Genomic DNA, 23,092 nt, shown 5'->3' with positions numbered 1-23,092 from the left:
CTGTGAGTTGAATGCACACATCACAAAGAAGTTTCTGAGAATAGTTCTGTCTAATTTTTATGTGAAGATAATCCTGTTTCCCAAGAAGGCTTCAAAGCACCCTAATATCCGCCTCCAGATTCTACAGAAAGAGTGTTTCAAAACTGCTCTATGGAAAGGAAGGTTCAACTCTGTGAGTTGAATGCAGACATCATAAAGGAGTTTCTGAGAATGCTTCTGTCTTGTTTTAATGTGAAGATATTTCCTTTTCAACCGATAGCCTAAAAGAGCTCCAAATGTCCAACTGCAGATTTTTTAAAAAGAATGTTTCAAAACTGCACTATCAAAAGAAAGGTTCAGCTCTGTGAGTTGAATGCACACATCTCAAAGAAGTTTCTGAGAATGGTTCTGTCTAGTTTTTATGTGAAGGTATTCGCGATTCCAATGAAGTCTTCAAAGCGCTCCAAATATCTAAATGCGCATTCTACAAAAAGAGTGATTCAAAACTGGTCTATGAAAAGGAAGGTTCAGCTCTGTGAGTTGAACGCACACATCACAAAACGTTTCGGACAATGCTTCCATTTAGTTTTTAGGTGAAGATATTACCTTTTCAACCACAGTCTTCAAAACGCTCCAAATGTCCACTTGCAGATTCTACAAGAAGATTGCTTCCAGGCGGCTCTATCAAAAGAAATGTTCAACTATGGGAGTAGAATACACACATCACAAAGTCGTTTCTGAGAATGCTTCTGTCTAGTTTTTATGTGAAGATATTTCCTTTTCTACCAGAGGCCTGAAAGCGCTCCAAACATCCAATTGCAGATTCTACAAAAAGAGTGTTTCAAAACTTCTCTATCAAAAGTAAGGGTCTGCTTTGTGAGTTGAATGTACACATCAAAATGAAGTTTCTGATTATACTTCTGTCTACTTCTTATGGGAAGATATTTCCTTATCCGCAATGGTCCTCAAAGCCCTCGAAATGCCCACTTGAAGATTCTTCGGAAAGACTGTTTCGAAACTGCTCTATCAAAAGAAAGTTTCAACTTTGTGTGTAGAATGCACACATCACAAAGTCGTTTCTGAGAATGCTTCTGTCTAGTTTTTATAGGAAGATATTTCCTTTTCTACCATAAGCCTCAAAGCACTGCACATATGAACTGGCAGATTCTTTAAAAAGAGTGTTTCAAAACTGCTCTATCAAAACTGTTCTATCAACTCTGTGAGATGAATGGACACATCACAAAGATGTTTCTGAGAATGCTTCTGTCTAGGTTTTAGGTGAAGATATTCTCGTTTCCAAAGAATGCTTCAAAGAGTACTTAAATATCCGCCTGCAGATTCTACAAAAGGAGTGTTTCAAAACTGCTCTAACAAAAGAAAGGTTCAACCTGGGAGTTGAATGCACACATCACAAAGAAGTTTCTGAGAATGCTTCTGTCTAGTTTTAATGCGAAGATATTCCCTTTTCCATCATAACCTTCAAAGCGCTCCAAATGTCCATTTGCAGATTTTAGAAACAGAGTGGTTCCAGACTGCTCTATCAAAAGAAATTTTCAACTATGGGAGTAGAATGCACACAACACAAATTCGTTTCTGAGAATGCTTCTGTCTAGTTTTTATGTGAAGATATTTCCTTTTCTACCACAGGCATAAATGTGCTCCAAATATCCACTTGCAGATTCTGAAAAAAGAGTGTTTCAAAACTGCTGTATCAAAAGGAAGGTTCAATTCTGTGAGTTGAATGCACACATCACAAAGTAGTTTCTGAGAATGCTTCTGCCTAATTTTTAGATTTAAGATATTCCCATTTCCAAAGAAGGCTTCAATTTGCTCCAAATATCCACTTGCAGATTGTACAAAAAGAGGGTTTCAAAACTGCTCTATCAAAAGGAAGGTTCAACTCTGTGAGATGAATGCACACATCACAAAGTGGTTTCAGAGAATGCTTCTTTCTAGTTTTTAGGTGACGATATTCCCGTTTCCAATGTAGCACTCAAAGAGCTCCAAATATCCTCCTGCAGATTGTGCAAAAAGGGTGTTTCAAAACTGCTCTATCAAAAAGAAGCTTCAACTCTGTGAGTTGAATGCACAAATCACAAAGAAGTTTCTGGGAATACTTCTGTCTATTTTTATGTGACGATACTCCCGTTTCCAAAGAAGGCTTCAAAGCACTCCAAATATCCACCTGCAGATTATAAAGGAAGAGTTTTTCAAAACTGCTCAATCCAAAGGAAGGTTCAGATCCGTGAGTTCAATGCCCACATCACAAAGAAGTTTCTGAGAATGCTTCTGTCTAGTTTCAAGGGGAAGATATTCCCGTTTCCAACGAAGGCTTCAAAGCGCTCCAAATATCCACTTGCAGAGTCTACAAAAAGACTGTTTCAAAACTGCTCTATAAAAGTAAGGTTGTACTTTGTTAGTGGAATGCACCCATCAAAATGAAGTTTCTGAGAACACTTCTGTCTACTTTTCATGTGAAGATATTTCCTTATCCACAATAGTCCCCAAAGCCCTCAAAATGCCCACTTGAAGATCCCTCAAAAATACTGTTTCAAAACTGCAGCATCAGAAGGAAATTTCAACTATGTGAGTAGAATGCACACATCACAAAGTAGTTTCTGAGAATGCTTCTGTCTAGTTTTTATATGAAGATATTTCCTTTTCGACCTTAAGCCTCAAAGTGCTGCAATTATGCACTTTCAGATTCTTCAAAAAGAGGGTTTCAAAACTGCTCTGGCAAAAGGAAGTTTCAACGCTGTGAGTTGAATGCACACATCACAAAGAAGTTTCTGAGAATGCTTCTGTCTAATTTTTATGTGAAGATAATCCTGTTTCCCAAGAAGGCTTCAAAGCACCCTAATATCCGCCTCCAGATTCTACAGAAAGAGTGTTTCAAAACTGCTCTATCAAAAGGAAGTTTCAAATCTGTGAGTTGAATGCAGACATCATAAAGGAGTTTCTGAGAATGCTTCTGTCTTGTTTTAATGTGAAGATATTTCCTTTTCAACCGATAGCCTAAAAGAGCTCCAAATATCCAACTGCAGATTTTTTAAAAAGAATGTTTCAAAACTGCACTATCAAAAGAAAGGTTCAACTCTGTGAGTTGAATGCACACATCTCAAAGAAGTTTCTGAGAATGGTTCTGTCTAGTTTTTATGTGAAGGTATTCGCGATTCCAATGAAGTCTTCAAAGCGCTCCAAATATCTAAATGCGGATCCTACAAAAAGAGTGATTCAAAACTGGTCTATGAAAAGGAAGGTTCAGCTCTGTGAGTTGAACGCACACATCACAAAAAGTTTCCGACAATGCTTCCATTTAGTTTTTAGGTGAAGATATTACCTTTTCAACCACAGCCTTCGAAACGCTCCAAATGTCCACTTGCAGATTCTACAAGAAGATTGTTTCCAGGCGGCTCTATCAAAAGAAATGTTCAACTATGGGAGTAGAATACACACATCACAAAGTCGTTTCTGAGAATGCTTCTGTCTAGTTTTTATGTGAAGATATTTCCTTTTCTACCAGAGGCCTGAAAGCGCTCCAAATATCCAATTGCAGATTCTACAAAAAGAGTGTTTCAAAACTTCTCTATCAAAAGTAAGGGTCTGCTTTGTGAGTTGAATGTACACATCAAAATGAAGTTTCTGATTATACTTCTGTCTACTTCTTATGGGAAGATATTTCCTTATCCGCAATGGTCCTCAAAGCCCTCGAAATGCCCACTTGAAGATTCTTCGGAAAGACGGTTTCAAAACTGCTCTATCAAAAGAAAGTTTCAACTTTGTGTGTAGAATGCACACATCACAAAGTCGTTTCTGAGAATGCTTCTGTCTAGTTTTTATATGAAGATATTTCCTTTTCTACCATAAGCCTCAAAGCACTCTACATATGAACTGGCAGATTCTTTAAAAAGAGTGTTTCAAAACTGCTCTATCAAAACTGTTCTATCAACTCTGTGAGATGAATGGACACATCACAAAGATGTTTCTGAGAATGCTTATGTCTAGGTTTTAGGTGAAGATATTCTCGTTTCCAAAGAATGCTTCAAAGAGTACTTAAATATCCGCCTGCAGATTCTACAAAAGGAGTGTTTCAAAACTGCTCTAACAAAAGAAAGGTTCAACCTGGGAGTTGAATGCACACATCACAAAGAAGTTTCTGAGAATGCTTCTGTCTAGTTTTAATGCGAAGATATTCCCTTTTCCATCATAACCTTCAAAGCGCTCCAAATGTCTATTTGCAGATTTTACAAACAGAGTGGTTCCAGACTGCTCTATCAAAAGAAATTTTCAACTATGGGAGTAGAAGGCACACAACACAAATTCGTTTCTGAGAATGCTTCTGTCTAGTTTTTATGTGAAGATATTTCCTTTTCTACCACAGGCATAAATGTGCTCCAAATATCCACTTGCAGATTCTAAACAAAGAGTGTTTCAAAACTGCTGTATCAAAAGGAAGGTTCAATTCTGTGAGTTGAATGCACACATCACAAAGTAGTTTCTGAGAATGCTTCTGCCTAATTTTTAGATTTAAGATATTCCCATTTCCAAAGAAGGCTTCAATTTGCTCCAAATATCCACTTGCAGATTGTACAAAAAGAGGGTTTCAAAACTGCTCTATCAAAAGGAAGGTTCAACTCTGTGAGATGAATGCACACATCACAAAGTGGTTTCAGAGAATGCTTCTTTCTACTTTTCAGGTGACGATATTCCCGTTTCCAATGTAGCACTCAAAGAGCTCCAAATATCCTCCTGCAGATTGTGCAAAAAGGGTGTTTCAAAACTGCTCTATCAAAAAGAAGCTTCAACTCTGTGAGTTGAATGCACAAATCACAAAGAAGTTTCTGGGAATACTTCTGTCTATTTTTATGTGACGATACTCCCGTTTCCAAAGAAGGCTTCAAAGCACTCCAAATATCCACCTGCAGATTATAAAGGAAGAGTTTTTCAAAACTGCTCAATCCGAAGGAAGGTTCAGCTCCGTGAGTTCAATGCCCACATCACAAAGAAGTTTCTGAGAATGCTTCTGTGTGGTTTCAAGGGGAAGATATTCCCGTTTCCAACGAAGGCTTCAAAGCGCTCCAAATATCCGCTTGCAGAGTCTACAAAAAGACTGTTTCAAAACTGCTCTATAAAAGTAAGGTTGTACTTTGTTAGTGGAATGCACCCATCAAAATGAAGTTTCTGAGAACACTTCTGTCTACTTTTCATGTGAAGATATTTCCTTATCCACAATAGTCCCCAAAGCCCTCAAAATGCCCACTTGAAGATCCCTCAAAAAGACTGTTTCAAAACTGCAGTATCAGAAGGAAATTTCAACTATGTGAGTAGAATGCACACATCACAAAGTAGTTTCTGAGAATGCTTCTGTCTAGTTTTTATATGAAGATATTTCCTTTTCGACCTTAAGCCTCAAAGTGCTGCAATTATGCACTTTCAGATTCTTCAAAAAGAGGGTTTCAAAACTGCTCTGGCAAAAGGAAGTTTCAACGCTGTGAGTTGAATGCACACATCACAAAGAAGTTTCTGAGAATGCTTCTGTCTAATTTTTATGTGAAGATAATCCTGTTTCCCAAGAAAGCTTCAAAGCACCCTAATATCCGCCTCCAGATTCTACAGAAAGAGTGTTTCAAAACTGCTCTATGGAAAGGAAGGTTCAACTCTGTGAGTTGAATGCAGACATCATAAAGGAGTTTCTGAGAATGCTTCTGTCTTGTTTTAATGTGAAGATATTTCCTTTTCAACCGATAGCCTAAAAGAGCTCCAAATGTCCAACTGCAGATTTTTTAAAAAGAATGTTTCAAAACTGCACTATCAAAAGAAAGGGTCAGCTCTGTGAGTTGAATGCACACATCTCAAAGAAGTTTCTGAGAATGGTTCTGTCTAGTTTTTATGTGAAGGTATTCGCGATTCCAATGAAGTCTTCAAAGCGCTCCAAATATCTAAATGCGGATTCTACAAAAAGAGTGATTCAAAACTGGTCTATGAAAAGGAAGGTTCAGCTCTGTGAGTTGAACGCACACATCACAAAACGTTTCGGACAATGCTTCCATTTAGTTTTTAGGTGAAGATATTACCTTTTCAACCACAGCATTCGAAACGCTCCAAATGTCCACTGGCAGATTCTACAAGAAGATTGTTTCCAGGCGGCTCTATCAAAAGAAATGTTCAACTATGGGAGTAGAATACACACATCACAAAGTCGTTTCTGAGAATGCTTCTGTCTAGTTTTTATGTGAAGATATTTCCTTTTCTACCAGAGGCCTGAAAGCGCTCCAAACATCCAATTGCAGATTCTACAAAAAGAGTGTTTCAAAACTTCTCTATCAAAAGTAAGGGTCTGCTTTGTGAGTTGAATGTACACATCAAAATGAAGTTTCTGATTATACATCTGTCTACTTCTTATGGGAAGATATTTCCTTATCCGCAATGGTCCTCAAAGCCCTCGAAATGCCCACTTGAAGATTCTTCGGAAAGACGGTTTCAAAACTGCTCTATCAAAAGAAAGTTTCAACTTTGTGTGTAGAATGTACACATCACAAAGTCGTTTCTGAGAATGCTTCTGTCTAGTTTTTATATGAAGATATTTCCTTTTCTACCATAAGCCTCAAAGCACTGCACATATGAACTGGCAGATTCTTTAAAAAGAGTGTTTCAAAACTGCTCTATCAAAACTGTTCTATCAACTCTGTGAGATGAATGGACACATCACAAAGATGTTTCTGAGAATGCTTCTGTCTAGGTTTTAGGTGAAGATATTCTCGTTTCCAAAGAATGCTTCAAAGAGTACTTAAATATCCGCCTGCAGATTCTACAAAAGGAGTGTTTCAAAACTGCTCTAACAAAAGAAAGGTTCAACCTGGGAGTTGAATGCACACATCACAAAGAAGTTTCTGAGAATGCTTCTGTCTAGTTTTAATGCGAAGATATTCCCTTTTCCATCATAACCTTCAAAGCGCTCCAAATGTCCATTTGCAGATTTTAGAAACAGAGTGTTTCCAGACTGCTCTATCAAAAGAAATTTTCAACTATGGGAGTAGAATGCACACAACACAAATTCGTTTCTGAGAATGCTTCTGTCTAATTTTTATGTGAAGATATTTCCTTTTCTACCACAGGCATAAATGTGCTCCAAATATCCACTTGCAGATTCTAAAAAAAGAGTGTTTCAAAACTGCTGTATCAAAAGGAAGTTTCAATTCTGTGAGTTGAATGCACACATCACAAAGTAGTTTCTGAGAATGCTTCTGCCTAATTTTTAGATTTAAGATATTCCCATTTCCAAAGAAGGCTTCAATTTGCTCCAAATATCCACTTGCAGATTGTACAAAAAGAGGGTTTCAAAACTGCTCTATCAAAAGGAAGGTTCAACTCTGTGAGATGAATGCACACATCACAAAGTGGTTTCAGAGAATGCTTCTTTCTAGTTTTCAGGTGACGATATTCCCGTTTCCAATGTAGCACTCAAAGAGCTCCAAATATCCTCCTGCAGATTGTGCAAAAAGGGTGTTTCAAAACTGCTCTATCAAAAAGAAGCTTCAACTCTGTGAGTTGAATGCACAAATCACAAAGAAGTTTCTGGGAATACTTCTGTCTATTTTTATGTGACGATACTCCCGTTTCCAAAAAGGCTTCAAAGCACTCCAAATATCCACCTGCAGATTATAAAGGAAGAGTTTGTCAAAACTGCTCAATCCAAAGGAAGGTTCAGCTCCGTGAGTTCAATGCCCACATCACAAAGAAGTTTCTGAGAATGCTTCTGTGTGGTTTCAAGGGGAAGATATTCCCGTTTCCAACGAAGGCTTCAAAGCGCTCCAAATATCCGCTTGCAGAGTCTACAAAAAGACTGTTTCAAAACTGCTCTATAAAAGTAAGGTTGTACTTTGTTAGTGGAATGCACCCATCAAAATGAAGTTTCTGAGAACACTTCTGTCTACTTTTCATGTGAAGATATTTCCTTATCCACAATAGTCCCCAAAGCCCTCAAAATGCCCACTTGAAGATCCCTCAAAAAGACTGTTTCAAAACTGCAGTATCAGAAGGAAATTTCAACTATGTGAGTAGAATGCACACATCACAAAGTAGTTTCTGAGAATGCTTCTGTCTAGTTTTTATATGAAGATATTTCCTTTTCGACCTTAAGCCTCAAAGTGCTGCAATTATGCACTTTCAGATTCTTCAAAAAGAGGGTTTCAAAACTGCTCTGGCAAAAGGAAGTTTCAACGCTGTGAGTTGAATGCACACATCACAAAGAAGTTTCTGAGAATGCTTCTGTCTAATTTTTATGTGAAGATAATCCTGTTTCCCAAGAAGGCTTCAAAGCACCCTAATATCTGTCTCCAGATTCTACAGAAAGAGTGTTTCAAAACTGCTCTATGGAAAGGAAGGTTCAACTCTGTGAGTTGAATGCAGACATCATAAAGGAGTTTCTGAGAATGCTTCTGTCTTGTTTTAATGTGAAGATATTTCCTTTTCAACCGATAGCCTAAAAGAGCTCCAAATGTCCAACTGCAGATTTTTTAAAAAGAATGTTTCAAAACTGCACTATCAAACGAAAGGTTCAGCTCTGTGAGTTGAATGCACACATCTCAAAGAAGTTTCTGAGAATGGTTCTGTCTAGTTTTTATGTGAAGGTATTCGCGATTCCAATGAAGTCTTCAAAGCGCTCCAAATATCTAAATGCGGATTCTACAAAAAGAGTGATTCAAAACTGGTCTATGAAAAGGAAGGTTCAGCTCTGTGAGTTGAACGCACACATCACAAAAAGTTTCGGACAATGCTTCCATTTAGTTTTTAGGTGAAGATATTACCTTTTCAACCACAGACTTCGAAACGCTCCAAATGTCCACTTGCAGATTCTACAAGAAGATTGTTTCCAGGCGGCTCTATCAAAAGAAATGTTCAACTATGGGAGTAGAATACACACATCACAAAGTCGTTTCTGAGAATGCTTCTGTCTAGTTTTTATGTGAAGATATTTCCTTTTCTACCAGAGGCCTGAAAGCGCTCCAAATATCCAATTGCAGATTCTACAAAAAGACTGTTTCAAAACTTCTCTATCAAAAGTAAGGGTCTGCTTTGTGAGTTGAATGTACACATCAAAATGAAGTTTCTGATTATACTTCTGTCTACTTCTTATGGGAAGATATTTCCTTATCCGCAATGGTCCTCAAAGCCCTCGAAATGCCCACTTGAAGATTCTTCGGAAAGACGGTTTCAAAACTGCTCTATCAAAAGAAAGTTTCAACTTTGTGTGTAGAATGCACACATCACAAAGTCGTTTCTGAGAATGCTTCTGTCTAGTTTTTATATGAAGATATTTCCTTTTCTGCCATAAGCCTCAAAGCACTGCACATATGAACTGGCAGATTCTTTAAAAAGAGTGTTTCAAAACTGCTCTATCAAAACTGTTCTATCAACTCTGTGAGATGAATGGACACATCACAAAGATCTTTCTGAGAATGCTTCTGTCTAGGTTTTAGGTGAAGATATTCTCGTTTCCAAAGAATGCTTCAAAGAGTACTTAAATATCCGCCTGCAGATTCTACAAAAGGAGTGTTTCAAAACTGCTCTAACAAAAGAAAGGTTCAACCTGGGAGTTGAATGCACACATCACAAAGAAGTTTCTGAGAATGCTTCTGTCTAGTTTTAATGCGAAGATATTCCCTTTTCCATCATAACCTTCAAAGCGCTCCAAATGTCCATTTGCAGATTTTAGAAACAGAGTGGTTCCAGACTGCTCTATCAAAAGAAATTTTCAACTATGGGAGTAGAATGCACACAACACAAATTCGTTTCTGAGAATGCTTCTGTCTAGTTTTTATGTGAAGATATTTCCTTTTCTACCACAGGCATAAATGTGCTCCAAATATCCACTTGCAGATTCTAAACAAAGAGTGTTTCAAAACTGCTGTATCAAAAGGAAGGTTCAATTCTGTGAGTTGAATGCACACATCACAAAGTAGTTTCTGAGAATGCTTCTGCCTAATTTTTAGATTTAAGATATTCCCATTTCCAAAGAAGGCTTCTATTTGCTCCAAATATCCACTTGCAGATTGTACAAAAAGAGGGTTTCAAAACTGCTCTATCAAAAGGAAGGTTCAACTCTGTGAGATGAATGCACACATCACAAAGTGGCTTCAGAGAATGCTTCTTTCTAGTTTTCAGGTGACGATATTCCCGTTTCCAATGTAGCACTCAAAGAGCTCCAAATATCCTCCTGCAGATTGTGCAAAAAGGGTGTTTCAAAACTGCTCTATCAAAAAGAAGCTTCAACTCTGTGAGTTGAATGCACAAGTCACAAAGAAATTTCTGGGAATACTTCTGTCTATTTTTATGTGACGATACTCCCGTTTCCAAAGAAGGCTTCAAAGCACTCCAAATATCCACCTGCAGATTATAAAGGAAGAGTTTTTCAAAACTGCTCAATCCAAAGGAAGGTTCAGCTCCGTGAGTTCAATGCCCACATCACAAAGAAGTTTCTGAGAATGCTTCTGTCTGGTTTCAAGGGGAAGATATTCCCGTTTCCAACGAAGGCTTCAAAGCGCTCCAAATATCCGCTTGCAGAGTCTACAAAAAGACTGTTTCAAAACTGCTCTATAAAAGTAAGGTTGTACTTTGTTAGTGGAATGCACCCATCAAAATGAAGTTTCTGAGAACACTTCTGTCTACTTTTCATGTGAAGATATTTCCTTATCCACAATAGTCCCCAAAGCCCTCAAAATGCCCACTTGAAGATCCCTCAAAAAGACTGTTTCAAAACTGCAGTATCAGAAGGAAATTTCAACTATGTGAGTAGAATGCACACATCACAAAGTAGTTTCTGAGAATGCTTCTGTCTAGTTTTTATATGAAGATATTTCCTTTTCGACCTTAAGCCTCAAAGTGCTGCAATTATGCACTTTCAGATTCTTCAAAAAGAGGGTTTCAAAACTGCTCTGGCAAAAGGAAGTTTCAACGCTGTGAGTTGAATGCACACATCACAAAGAAGTTTCTGAGAATGCTTCTGTCTAATTTTTATGTGAAGATAATCCTGTTTCCCAAGAAGGCTTCAAAGCACCCTAATATCCGCCTCCAGATTCTACAGAAAGAGTGTTTCAAAACTGCTCTATCAAAAGGAAGGTTCAACTCTGTGAGTTGAATGCAGACATCATAAAGGAGTTTCTGAGAATGCTTCTGTCTTGTTTTAATGTGAAGATATTTCCTTTTCAACCGATAGCCTAAAAGAGCTCCAAATGTCCAACTGCAGATTTTTTAAAAAGAATGTTTCAACACTGCACTATCAAAAGAAAGGTTCAGCTCTGTGAGTTGAATGCACACATCTCAAAGAAGTTTCTGAGAATGGTTCTGTCTAGTTTTTATGTGAAGGTATTCGCGATTCCAATGAAGTCTTCAAAGCGCTCCAAATATCTAAATGCGGATCCTACAAAAAGAGTGATTCAAAACTGGTCTATGAAAAGGAAGGTTCAGCTCTGTGAGTTGAACACACACATCACAAAAAGTTTCCGACAATGCTTCCATTTAGTTTTTAGGTGAAGATATTACCTTTTCAACCACAGCCTTCGAAACGCTCCAAATGTCCACTTGCAGATTGTACAAGAAGATTGTTTCCAGGCGGCTCTATCAAAAGAAATGTTCAACTATGGGAGTAGAATACACACATCACAAAGTCGTTTCTGAGAATGCTTCTGTCTAGTTTTTATGTGAAGATATTTCCTTTTCTACCAGAGGCCTGAAAGCGCTCCAAATATCCAATTGCAGATTCTACAAAAAGAGTGTTTCAAAACTTCTCTATCAAAAGTAAGGGTCTGCTTTGTGAGTTGAATGTACACATCAAAATGAAGTTTCTGATTATACTTCTGTCTACTTCTTATGGGAAGATATTTCCTTATCCGCAATGGTCCTCAAAGCCCTCGAAATGCCCACTTGAATATTCTTCGGAAAGACGGTTTCAAAACTGCTCTATCAAAAGAAAGTTTCAACTTTGTGTGTAGAATGCACACATCACAAAGTCGTTTCTGAGAATGCTTCTGTCTAGTTTTTATAGGAAGATATTTCCTTTTCTACCATAAGCCTCAAAGCACTGCACATATGAACTGGCAGATTCTTTAAAAAGAGTGTTTCAAAACTGCTCTATCAAAACTGTTCTATCAACTCTGTGAGATGAATGGACACATCACAAAGATCTTTCTGAGAATGCTTCTGTCTAGGTTTTAGGTGAAGATATTCTCGTTTCCAAAGAATGCTTCAAAGAGTACTTAAATATCCGCCTGCAGATTCTACAAAAGGAGTGTTTCAAAACTGCTCTAATAAAAGAAAGGTTCAACCTGGGATTTGAATGCACACATCACAAAGAAGTTTCTGAGAATGCTTCTGTCTAGTTTTAATGCGAAGATATTCCCTTTTCCATCATAACGTTCAAAGCGCTCCAAATGTCCATTTGCAGGTTTTAGAAACAGAGTGGTTCCAGACTGCTCTATCAAAAGAAATTTTCAACTATGGGAGTAGAAGGCACACAACACTAATTCGTTATTGAGAATGCTTCTGTCTAGTTTTTATGTGAAGATATTTCCTTTTCTACCACAGGCATAAATGTGCTCCAAATATCCACTTGCTGATTCTAAAAAAAGAGTGTTTCACAACTGCTGTATCAAAAGGAAGGTTCAATTCTGTGAGTTGAATGCACACATCACAAAGTAGTTTCTGAGAATGCTTCTGCCTAATTTTTAGATTTAAGATATTCCCATTTCCAAAGAAGGCTTCAATTTGCTCCAAATATCCACTTGCAGATTGTACAAAAAGAGGGTTTCAAAACTGCTCTATGAAAAGGAAGGTTCAACTCTGTGAGATGAATGCACACATCACAAAGTGGTTTCAGAGAATGCTTCTTTCTAGTTTTTAGGTGACGATATTCCCGTTTCCAATGTAGCACTCAAAGAGCTCCAAATATCCTCCTGCAGATTGTGCAAAAAGGGTGTTTCAAAACTGCTCTATCAAAAAGAAGCTTCAACTCTGTGAGTTGAATGCACAAATCACAAAGAAGTTTCTGGGAATACTTCTGTCTATTTTTATGTGACGATACTCCCGTTTCCAAAGAAGGCTTCAAAGCACTCCAAATATCCACCTGCAGATTATAAAGGAAGAGTTTTTCAAAACTGCTCAATCCAAAGGAAGGTTCAGCTCCGTGAGTTCAATGCCCACATCACAAAGAAGTTTCTGAGAATGCTTCTGTCTAGTTTCAAGGGGAAGATATTCCCGTTTCCAACGAAGGCTTCAAAGCGCTCCAAATATCCACTTGCAGAGTCTACAAAAAGACCGTTTCAAAACTGCTCTATAAAAGTAAGGTTGTACCTTGTTAGTTGAATGCACCCATCAAAATGAAGTTTCTGAGAACACTTCTGTCTACTTTTCATGTGAAGATATTTCCTTATCCACAATAGTCCCCAAAGCCCTCAAAATGCCCACTTGAAGATCCCTCAAAAAGACTGTTTCAAAACTGCAGTATCAGAAGGAAATTTCAACTATGTGAGTAGAATGCACACATCACAAAGTAGTTTCTGAGAATGCTTCTGTCTAGTTTTTATATGAAGATATTTCCTTTTCGACCTTAAGCCTCAAAGTGCTGCAATTATGCACTTTCAGATTCTTCAAAAAGAGGGTTTCAAAACTGCTCTGGCAAAAGGAAGTTTCAACGCTGTGAGTTGAATGCACACATCACAAAGAAGTTTCTGAGAATGCTTCTGTCTAATTTTTATGTGAAGATAATCCTGTTTCCCAAGAAGGCTTCAAAGCACCCTAATATCCGCCTCCAGATTCTACAGAAAGAGTGTTTCAAAACTGCTCTATGAAAAGGAAGGTTCAACTCTGTGAGTTGAATGCAGACATCATAAAGGAGTTTCTGAGAATGCTTCTGTCTTGTTTTAATGTGAAGATATTTCCTTTTCAACCGATAGCCTAAAAGAGCTCCAAATGTCCAACTGCAGATTTTTTAAAAAGAATGTTTCAAAACTGCACTATCAAAAGAAAGGTTCAACTCTGTGAGTTGAATGCACACATCTCAAAGAAGTTTCTGAGAATGGTTCTGTCTAGTTTTTATGTGAAGGTATTCGCGATTCCAATGAAGTCTTCAAAGCGCTCCAAATATCTAAATGCGGATCCTACAAAAAGAGTGATTCAAAACTGGTCTATGAAAAGGAAGGTTCAGCTCTGTGAGTTGAACGCACACATCACAAAAAGTTTCCGACAATGCTTCCATTTAGTTTTTAGGTGAAGATATTACCTTTTCAACCACAGCCTTCGAAACGCTCCAAATGTCCACTTGCAGATTCTACAAGAAGATTGTTTCCAGGCGGCTCTATCAAAAGAAATGTTCAACTATGGGAGTAGAATACACACATCACAAAGTCGTTTCTGAGAATGCTTCTGTCTAGTTTTTATGTGAAGATATTTCCTTTTCTACCAGAGGCCTGAAAGCGCTCCAAATATCCAATTGCAGATTCTACAGAAAGAGTGTTTCAAAACTTCTCTATCAAAAGTAAGGGTCTGCTTTGTGAGTTGAATGTACACATCAAAATGAAGTTTCTGATTATACTTCTGTCTACTTCTTATGGGAAGATATTTCCTTATCCACAATGGTCCTCAAAGCCCTCGAAATGCCCACTTGAAGATTCTTCGGAAAGACTGTTTCAAAACTGCTCTATCAAAAAAAAGTTTCAACTTTGTGTGTAGAATGCACACATCACAATGTCGTTTCTGAGAATGCTTCTGTCTAGTTTTTATATGAAGATATTTCCTTTTCTACCATAAGCCTCAAAGCACTGCACATATGAACTGGCAGATCCTTTAAAAAGAGTGTTTCAAAACTGCTCTATCAAAACTGTTCTATCAACTCTGTGAGATGAATGGACACATCACAAAGATGTTTCTGAGAATGCTTCTGTCTAGGTTTTAGGTGAAGATATTCTCGTTTCCAAAGAATGCTTCAAAGAGTACTTAAATATCCGCCTGCAGATTCTACAAAAGGAGTGTTTCAAAACTGCTCTAACAAAAGAAAGGTTCAACCTGGGAGTTGAATGCACACATCACAAAGAAGTTTCTGAGAATGCTTCTGTCTAGTTTTAATGCGAAGATATTCCCTTTTCCATCATAACCTTCAAAGCGCTCCAAATGTCCATTTGCAGATTTTAGAAACAGAGTGGTTCCAGACTGCTCTATCAAAAGAAATTTTCAACTATGGGAGTAGAATACACACAACACTAATTCGTTTCTGAGAATGCTTCTGTCTAGTTTTTATGTGAAGATATTTCCTTTTCTACCACAGGCATAAATGTGCTCCAAATATCCACTTGCAGATTCTAAACAAAGAGTGTTTCAAAACTGCTGTATCAAAAGGAAGGTTCAATTCTGTGAGTTGAATGCACACATCACAAAGTAGTTTCTGAGAATGCTTCCGCCTAATTTTTAGATTTAAGATATTCCCATTTCCAAAGAAGGCTTCAATTTGCTCCAAATATCCACTTGCAGAGTGTACAAAAAGAGGGTTTCAAAACTGCTCTATCAAAAGGAAGGTTCAACTCTGTGAGATGAATGCACACATCACAAAGTGGTTTCCGAGAATGCTTCTTTCTAGTTTTTAGGTGACGATATTCCCGTTTCCAATGTAGCACTCAAAGAGCTCCAAATATCCTCCTGCAGATTGTGCAAAAAGGGTGTTTCAAAACTGCTCTATCAAAAAGAAGCTTCAACTCTGTGAGTTGAATGCACAAATCACAAAGAAGTCTCTGAGAATACTTCTGTCTATTTTTATGTGACGATACTCCCGTTTCCAAAGAAGGCTTCAAAGCACTCCAAATATCCACCTGCAGATTATAAAGGAAGAGTTTTTCAAAACTGCTCAATCCAAAGGAAGGTTCAGCTCCGTGAGTTCAATGCCCACATCACAAAGAAGTTTCTGAGAATGCTTCTGTCTGGTTTCAAGGGGAAGATATTCCCGTTTCCAACGAAGGCTTCAAAGCGCTCCAAATACCGACTTGCAGAGTCTACAAAAAGACTGTTTCAAAACTGCTCTATAAAAGTAAGGTTGTACTTTGTTAGTGGAATGCACCCATCAAAATGAAGTTTCTGAGAACACTTCTGTCTACTTTTCATATGAAGATATTTCCTTATCCACAATAGTCCCCAAAGCCCTCAAAATGCCCACTTGAAGATCCCTCAAAAAGACTGTTTCAAAACTGCAGTATCAGAAGGAAATTTCAACTATGTGAGTAGAATGCACACATCACAAAGTAGTTTCTGAGAATGCTTCTGTCTAGTTTTTATATGAAGATATTTCCTTTTCGACCTTAAGCCTCAAAGTGCTGCAATTATGCACTTTCAGATTCTTCAAAAAGAGGGTTTCAAAACTGCTCTGGCAAAAGGAAGTTTCAACGCTGTGAGTTGAATGCACACATCACAAAGAAGTTTCTGAGAATGCTTCTGTCTAATTTTTATGTGAAGATAATCCTGTTTCCCAAGAAGGCTTCAAAGCACCCTAATATCCGCCTCCAGATTCTACAGAAAGAGTGTTTCAAAACTGCTCTATGGAAAGGAAGGTTCAACACTGTGAGTTGAATGCAGACATCATAAAGGAGTTTCTGAGAATGCTTCTGTCTTGTTTTAATGTGAAGATATTTCCTTTTCAACCGATAGCCTAAAAGAGCTCCAAATGTCCAACTGCAGATATTTTAAAAAGAATGTTTCAAAACTGCACTATCAAAAGAAAGGTACAGCTCTGTGAGTTGAATGCACACATCTCAAAGAAGTTTCTGAGAATGGTTCTGTCTAGTTTTTATGTGAAGGTATTCGCGATTCCAATGAAGTCTTCAAAGCGCTCCAAATATCTAAATGCGGATTCTACAAAAAGAGTGATTCAAAACTGGTCTATGAAAAGGAAGGTTCAGCTCTGTGAGTTGAACGCACACATCACAAAAAGTTTCGGACAATGCTTCCATTTAGTTTTTAGGTGAAGATATTACCTTTTCAACCACAGCCTTCGAAACGCTCCAAATGTCCACTTGCAGATTCTACAAGAAGATTGTTTCCAGGCGGCTCTATCAAAAGAAATGTTCAACTATGGGAGTAGAATACACACATCACAAAGTCGTTTCTGAGAATTTTTCTGTCTAGTTTTTATGTGAAGATATTTCCTTTTCTACCAGAGGCCTGAAAGCGCTCCAAATATCCAATTGCAGATTCTACAAAAAGAGTGTTTCAAAACTTCTCTATCAAAAGTAAGGGTCTGCTTTGTGAGTTGAATGTACACATCAAAATGAAGTTTCTGATTATACTTCTGTCTACTTCTTATGGGAAGATATTTCCTTATCCGCAATGGTCCTCAAAGCCCTCGAAATGCCCACTTGAAGATTCTTCGGAAAGACGGTTTCAAAACTGCTCTATCAAAAGAAAGTTTCAACTTTGTGTGTAGAATGCACACATCACAAAGTCGTTTCTGAGAATGCTTCTGTCTAGTTTTTATATGAAGATATTTCCTTTTCTACCATAAGCCTCAAAGCACTGCACATATGAACTGGCAGATTCTTTAAAAAGAGTGTTTCAAAACTGTTCTATCAAAACTGTTCTATCAACTCTGTGAGATGAATGGACACATCACAAAGATGTTTCTGAGAATGCTTATGTCTAGGTTTTAGGTGAAGATATTCTCGTTTCCAAAGAATGCTTCAAAGAGTACTTCAATATCCACCTGCAGATTCTACAAAAGGAGTGTTTCAAAACTGCTCTAACAAAAGAAAGGTTCAACCTGGGAGTTGAATGCACACATCACAAAGAAGTTTCTGAGAATGCTTCTGTCTAGTTTTAATGCGAAGATATTCCCTTTTCCATCATAACCTTCAAAGCGCTCCAAATGTCCATTTGCAGATTTTAGAAACAGAGTGGTTCCAGACTGCTCTATCAAAAGAAATTTTCAACTATGGGAGTAGAATGCACACAACACAAATTCGTTTCTGAGAATGCTTCTGTCTAGTTTTTATGTGAAGATATTTCCTTTTCTACCACAGGCATAAATGTGCTCCAAATATCCACTTGCAGATTCTGAAAAAAGAGTGTTTCAAAACTGCTGTATCAAAAGGAAGGTTCAATTCTGTGAGTTGAATGCACACATCACAAAGTAGTTTCTGAGAATGCTTCTGCCTAATTTTTAGATTTAAGATATTCCCATTTCCAAAGAAGGCTTCAATTTGCTCCAAATATCCACTTGCAGATTGTACAAAAAGAGGGTTTCAAAACTGCTCTATCAAAAGGAAGGTTCAACTCTGTGAGATGAATGCACACATCACAAAGTGGTTTCCGAGAATGCTTCTTTCTAGTTTTTAGGTGACGATATTCCCGTTTCCAATGTAGCACTCAAAGAGCTCCAAATATCCTCCTGCAGATTGTGCAAAAAGGGTGTTTCAAAACTGCTCTATCAAAAAGAAGCTTCAACTCTGTGAGTTGAATGCACAAATCACAAAGAAGTTTCTGGGAATACTTCTGTCTATTTTTATGTGACGATACTCCCGTTTCCAAAGAAGGCTTCAAAGCACTCCAAATATCCACCTGCAGATTATAAAGGAAGAGTTTTTCAAAACTGCTCAATCCAAAGGAAGGTTCAGCTCCGTGAGTTCAATGCCCACATCACAAAGAAGTTTCTGAGAATGCTTCTGTCTGGTTTCAAGGGGAAGATATTCCCGTTTCCAACGAAGGCTTCAAAGCGCTCCAAATATCCACTTGCAGAGTCTACAAAAAGACTGTTTCAAAACTGCTCTATAAAAGTAAGGTTGTACTTTGTTAGTGGAATGCACCCATCAAAATGAAGTTTCTGAGAACACTTCTGTCTACTTTTCATGTGAAGATATTTCCTTATCCACAATAGTCCCCAAAGCCCTCAAAATGCCCACTTGAAGATCCCTCAAAAAGACTGTTTCAAAACTGCAGTATCAGAAGGAAATTTCAACTATGTGAGTAGAATGCACACATCACAAAGTAGTTTCTGAGAATGCTTCTGTCTAGTTTTTATATGAAGATATTTCCTTTTCGACCTTAAGCCTCAAAGTGCTGCAATTATGCACTTTCAGATTCTTCAAAAAGAGGGTTTCAAAACTGCTCTGGCAAAAGGAAGTTTCAACGCTGTGAGTTGAATGCACACATCACAAAGAAGTTTCTGAGAATGCTTCTGTCTAATTTTTATGTGAAGATAATCCTGTTTCCCAAGAAGGCTTCAAAGCACCCTAATATCCGCCTCCAGATTCTACAGAAAGAGTGTTTCAAAACTGCTCTATGGAAAGGAAGGTTCAACTCTGTGAGTTGAATGCAGACATCATAAAGGAGTTTCTGAGAATGCTTCTGTCTTGTTTTAATGTGAAGATATTTCCTTTTCAACCGATAGCCTAAAAGAGCTCCAAATGTCCAACTGCAGATTTTTTAAAAAGAATGTTTCAAAACTGCACTATCAAAAGAAAGGTTCAGCTCTGTGAGTTGAATGCACACATCTCAAAGAAGTTTCTGAGAATGGTTCTGTCTAGTTTTTATGTGAAGGTATTCGCGATTCCAATGAAGTCTTCAAAGCGCTCCAAATATCTAAATGCGGATTCTACAAAAAGAGTGATTCAAAACTGGTCTATGAAAAGGAAGGTTCAGCTCTGTGAGTTGAACGCACACATCACAAAAAGTTTCGGAGAATGCTTCCATTTAGTTTTTAGGTGAAGATATTACCTTTTCAACCACAGCCTTCAAAACGCTCCAAATGTCCACTTGCAGATTCTACAAGAAGATTGTTTCCAGGCGGCTCTATCAAAAGAAATGTTCAACTATGGGAGTAGAATACACACATCACAAAGTCGTTTCTGAGAATGCTTCTGTCTAGTTTTTATGTGAAGATATTTCCTTTTCTACCAGAGGCCTGAAAGCGCTCCAAACATCCAATTGCAGATTCTACAAAAAGAGTGTCTCAAAACTTCTCTATCAAAAGTAAGGGTCTGCTTTGTGAGTTGAATGTACACATCGAAATGAAGTTTCTGATTATACTTCTGTCTACTTCTTATGGGAAGATATTTCCTTATCCGCAATGGTCCTCAAAGCTCTCGAAATGCCCACTTGAAGATTCTTCGGAAAGACGGTTTCAAAACTGCTCTATCAAAAGAAAGTTTCAACTTTGTGTGTAGAATGCACACATCACAAAGTCGTTTCTGAGAATGCTTCTGTCTAGTTTTTATAGGAAGATATTTCCTTTTCTACCATAAGCCTCAAAGCACTGCACATATGAACTGGCAGATTCTTTAAAAAGAGTGTTTCAAAACTGCTCTATCAAAACTGTTCTACCAACTCTCTGAGATGAATGGACACATCACAAAGATGTTTCTGAGAATGCTTCTGTCTAGGTTTTAGGTGAAGATATTCTCGTTTCCAAAGAATGCTTCAAAGAGTACTTAAATATCCGCCTGCAGATTCTACAAAAGGAGTGTTTCAAAACTGCTCTAACAAAAGAAAGGTTCAACCTGGGAGTTGAATGCACACATCACAAAGAAGTTTCTGAGAATGCTTCTGTCTAGTTTTAATGCGAAGATATTCCCTTTTCCATCATAACCTTCAAAGCGCTCCAAATGTCCATTTGCAGATTTTAGAAACAGAGTGGTTCCAGACTGCTCTATCAAAAGAAATTTTCAACTATGGGAGTAGAATGCACACAACACAAATTCGTTTCTGAGAATGCTTCTGTCTAGTTTTTATGTGAAGATATTTCCTTTTCTACCACAGGCATAAATGTGCTCCAAATATCCACTTGCAGATTCTAAACAAAGAGTGTTTCAAAACTGCTGTATCAAAAGGAAGGTTCAATTCTGTGAGTTGATTGCACACATCACAAAGTAGTTTCTGAGAATGCTTCTGCCTAATTTTTAGATTTAAGATATTCCCATTTCCAAAGAAGGCTTCAATTTGCTCCAAATATCCACTTGCATATTGTACAAAAAGAGGGTTTCAAAACTGCTCTATCAAAAGGAAGGTTCAACTCTGTGAGATGAATGCACACATCACAAAGTGGTTTCAGAGAATGCTTCTTTCTAGTTTTCAGGTGACGATATTCCCGTTTCCAATGTAGCACTCAAAGAGCTCCAAATATCCTCCTGCAGATTGTGCAAAAAGGGTGTTTCAAAACTGCTCTATCAAAAAGAAGCTTCAACTCTGTGAGTTGAATGCACAAATCACAAAGAAGTTTCTGGGAATACTTCTGTCTATTTTTATGTGACGATACTCCCGTTTCCAAAGAAGGCTTCAAAGCACTCCAAATATCCACCTGCAGATTATAAAGGAAGAGTTTTTCAAAACTGCTCAATCCAAAGGAAGGTTCAGCTCCGTGAGTTCAATGCCCACATCACAAAGAAGTTTCTGAGAATGCTTCTGTGTGGTTTCAAGGGGAAGATATTCCCGTTTCCAACGAAGGCTTCAAAGCGCTCCAAATATCCGCTTGCAGAGTCTACAAAAAGACTGTTTCAAAACTGCTCTATAAAAGTAAGGTTGTACTTTGTTAGTTGAAAGCACCCATCAAAATGAAGTTTCTGAGAACACTTCTGTCTACTTTTCATGTGAAGATATTTCCTTATCCACAATAGTCCCCAAAGCCCTCAAAATGCCCACTTGAAGATCCCTCAAAAAGACTGTTTCAAAACTGCAGTATCAGAAGCAAATTTCAACTATATGAGCAGAATGCACACATCACAAAGTAGTTTCTGAGAATGCTTCTGTCTAGTTTTTATATGAAGATATTTCCTTTTCGACCTTAAGCCTCAAAGTGCTGCAATTATGCACTTTCAGATTCTTCAAAAAGAGGGTTTCAAAACTGCTCTGGCAAAAGGAAGTTTCAACGCTGTGAGTTGAATGCACACATCACAAAGAAGTTTCTGAGAATGCTTCTGTCTAATTTTTATGTGAAGATAATCCTGTTTCCCAAGAAGGCTTCAAAGCACCCTAATATCTGTCTCCAGATTCTACAGAAAGAGTGTTTCAAAACTGCTCTATGGAAAGGAAGGTTCAACTCTGTGAGTTGAATGCAGACATCATAAAGGAGTTTCTGAGAATGCTTCTGTCTTGTTTTAATGTGAAGATATTTCCTTTTCAACCGATAGCCTAAAAGAGCTCCAAATGTCCAACTGCAGATTTTTTAAAAAGAATGTTTCAAAACTGCACTATCAAAAGAAAGGTTCAGCTCTGTGAGTTGAATGCACACATCTCAAAGAAGTTTCTGAGAATGGTTCTGTCTAGTTTTTATGTGAAGGTATTCGCGATTCCAATGAAGTCTTCAAAGCGCTCCAAATATCTAAATGCGGATTCTACAAAAAGAGTGATTCAAAACTGGTCTATGAAAAGGAAGGTTCAGCTCTGTGAGTTGAACGCACACATCACAAAAAGTTTCGGACAATGCTTCCATTTAGTTTTTAGGTGAAGATATTACCTTTTCAACAACAGCCTTCGAAACGCTCCAAATGTCCACTTGCAGATTCTACAAGAAGATTGTTTCCAGGCGGCTCTATCAAAAGAAATGTTCAACTATGGGAGTAGAATACACACATCACAAAGTCGTTTCTGAGAATGCTTCTGTCTAGTTTTTATGTGAAGATATTTCCTTTTCTACCAGAGGCCTGAAAGCGCTCCAAATATCCAATTGCAGATTCTACAAAAAGACTGTTTCAAAACTTCTCTATCAAAAGTAAGGGTCTGCTTTGTGAGTTGAATGTACACATCAAAATGAAGTTTCTGATTATACTTCTGTCTACTTCTTATGGGAAGATATTTCCTTATCCGCAATGGTCCTCAATGCCCTCGAAATGCCCACTTGAAGATTCTTCGGAAAGACTGTTTCAAAACTGCTCTATCAAAAGAAAGTTTCAACTTTGTGTGTAGAATGCACACATCACAAAGTCGTTTCTGAGAATGCTTCTGTCTAGTTTTTATATGAAGATATTTCCTTTTCTACCATAAGCCCCAAAGCACTGCACATATGAACTGGCAGATTCTTTAAAAAGAGTGTTTCAAAACTGCTCTATCAAAACTGTTCTATCAACTCTGTGAGATGAATGGACACATCACA

The sequence above is a fragment of the Homo sapiens genome, chromosome 7 (genome assembly GCF_000001405.40).
Source record: "Homo sapiens chromosome 7, GRCh38.p14 Primary Assembly".
Classification (NCBI taxonomy): domain Eukaryota; kingdom Metazoa; phylum Chordata; class Mammalia; order Primates; family Hominidae; genus Homo; species Homo sapiens.
The sequence above is the reverse complement of the archived record's forward strand: the minus strand, read 5'-3'. Positions refer to the sequence as shown.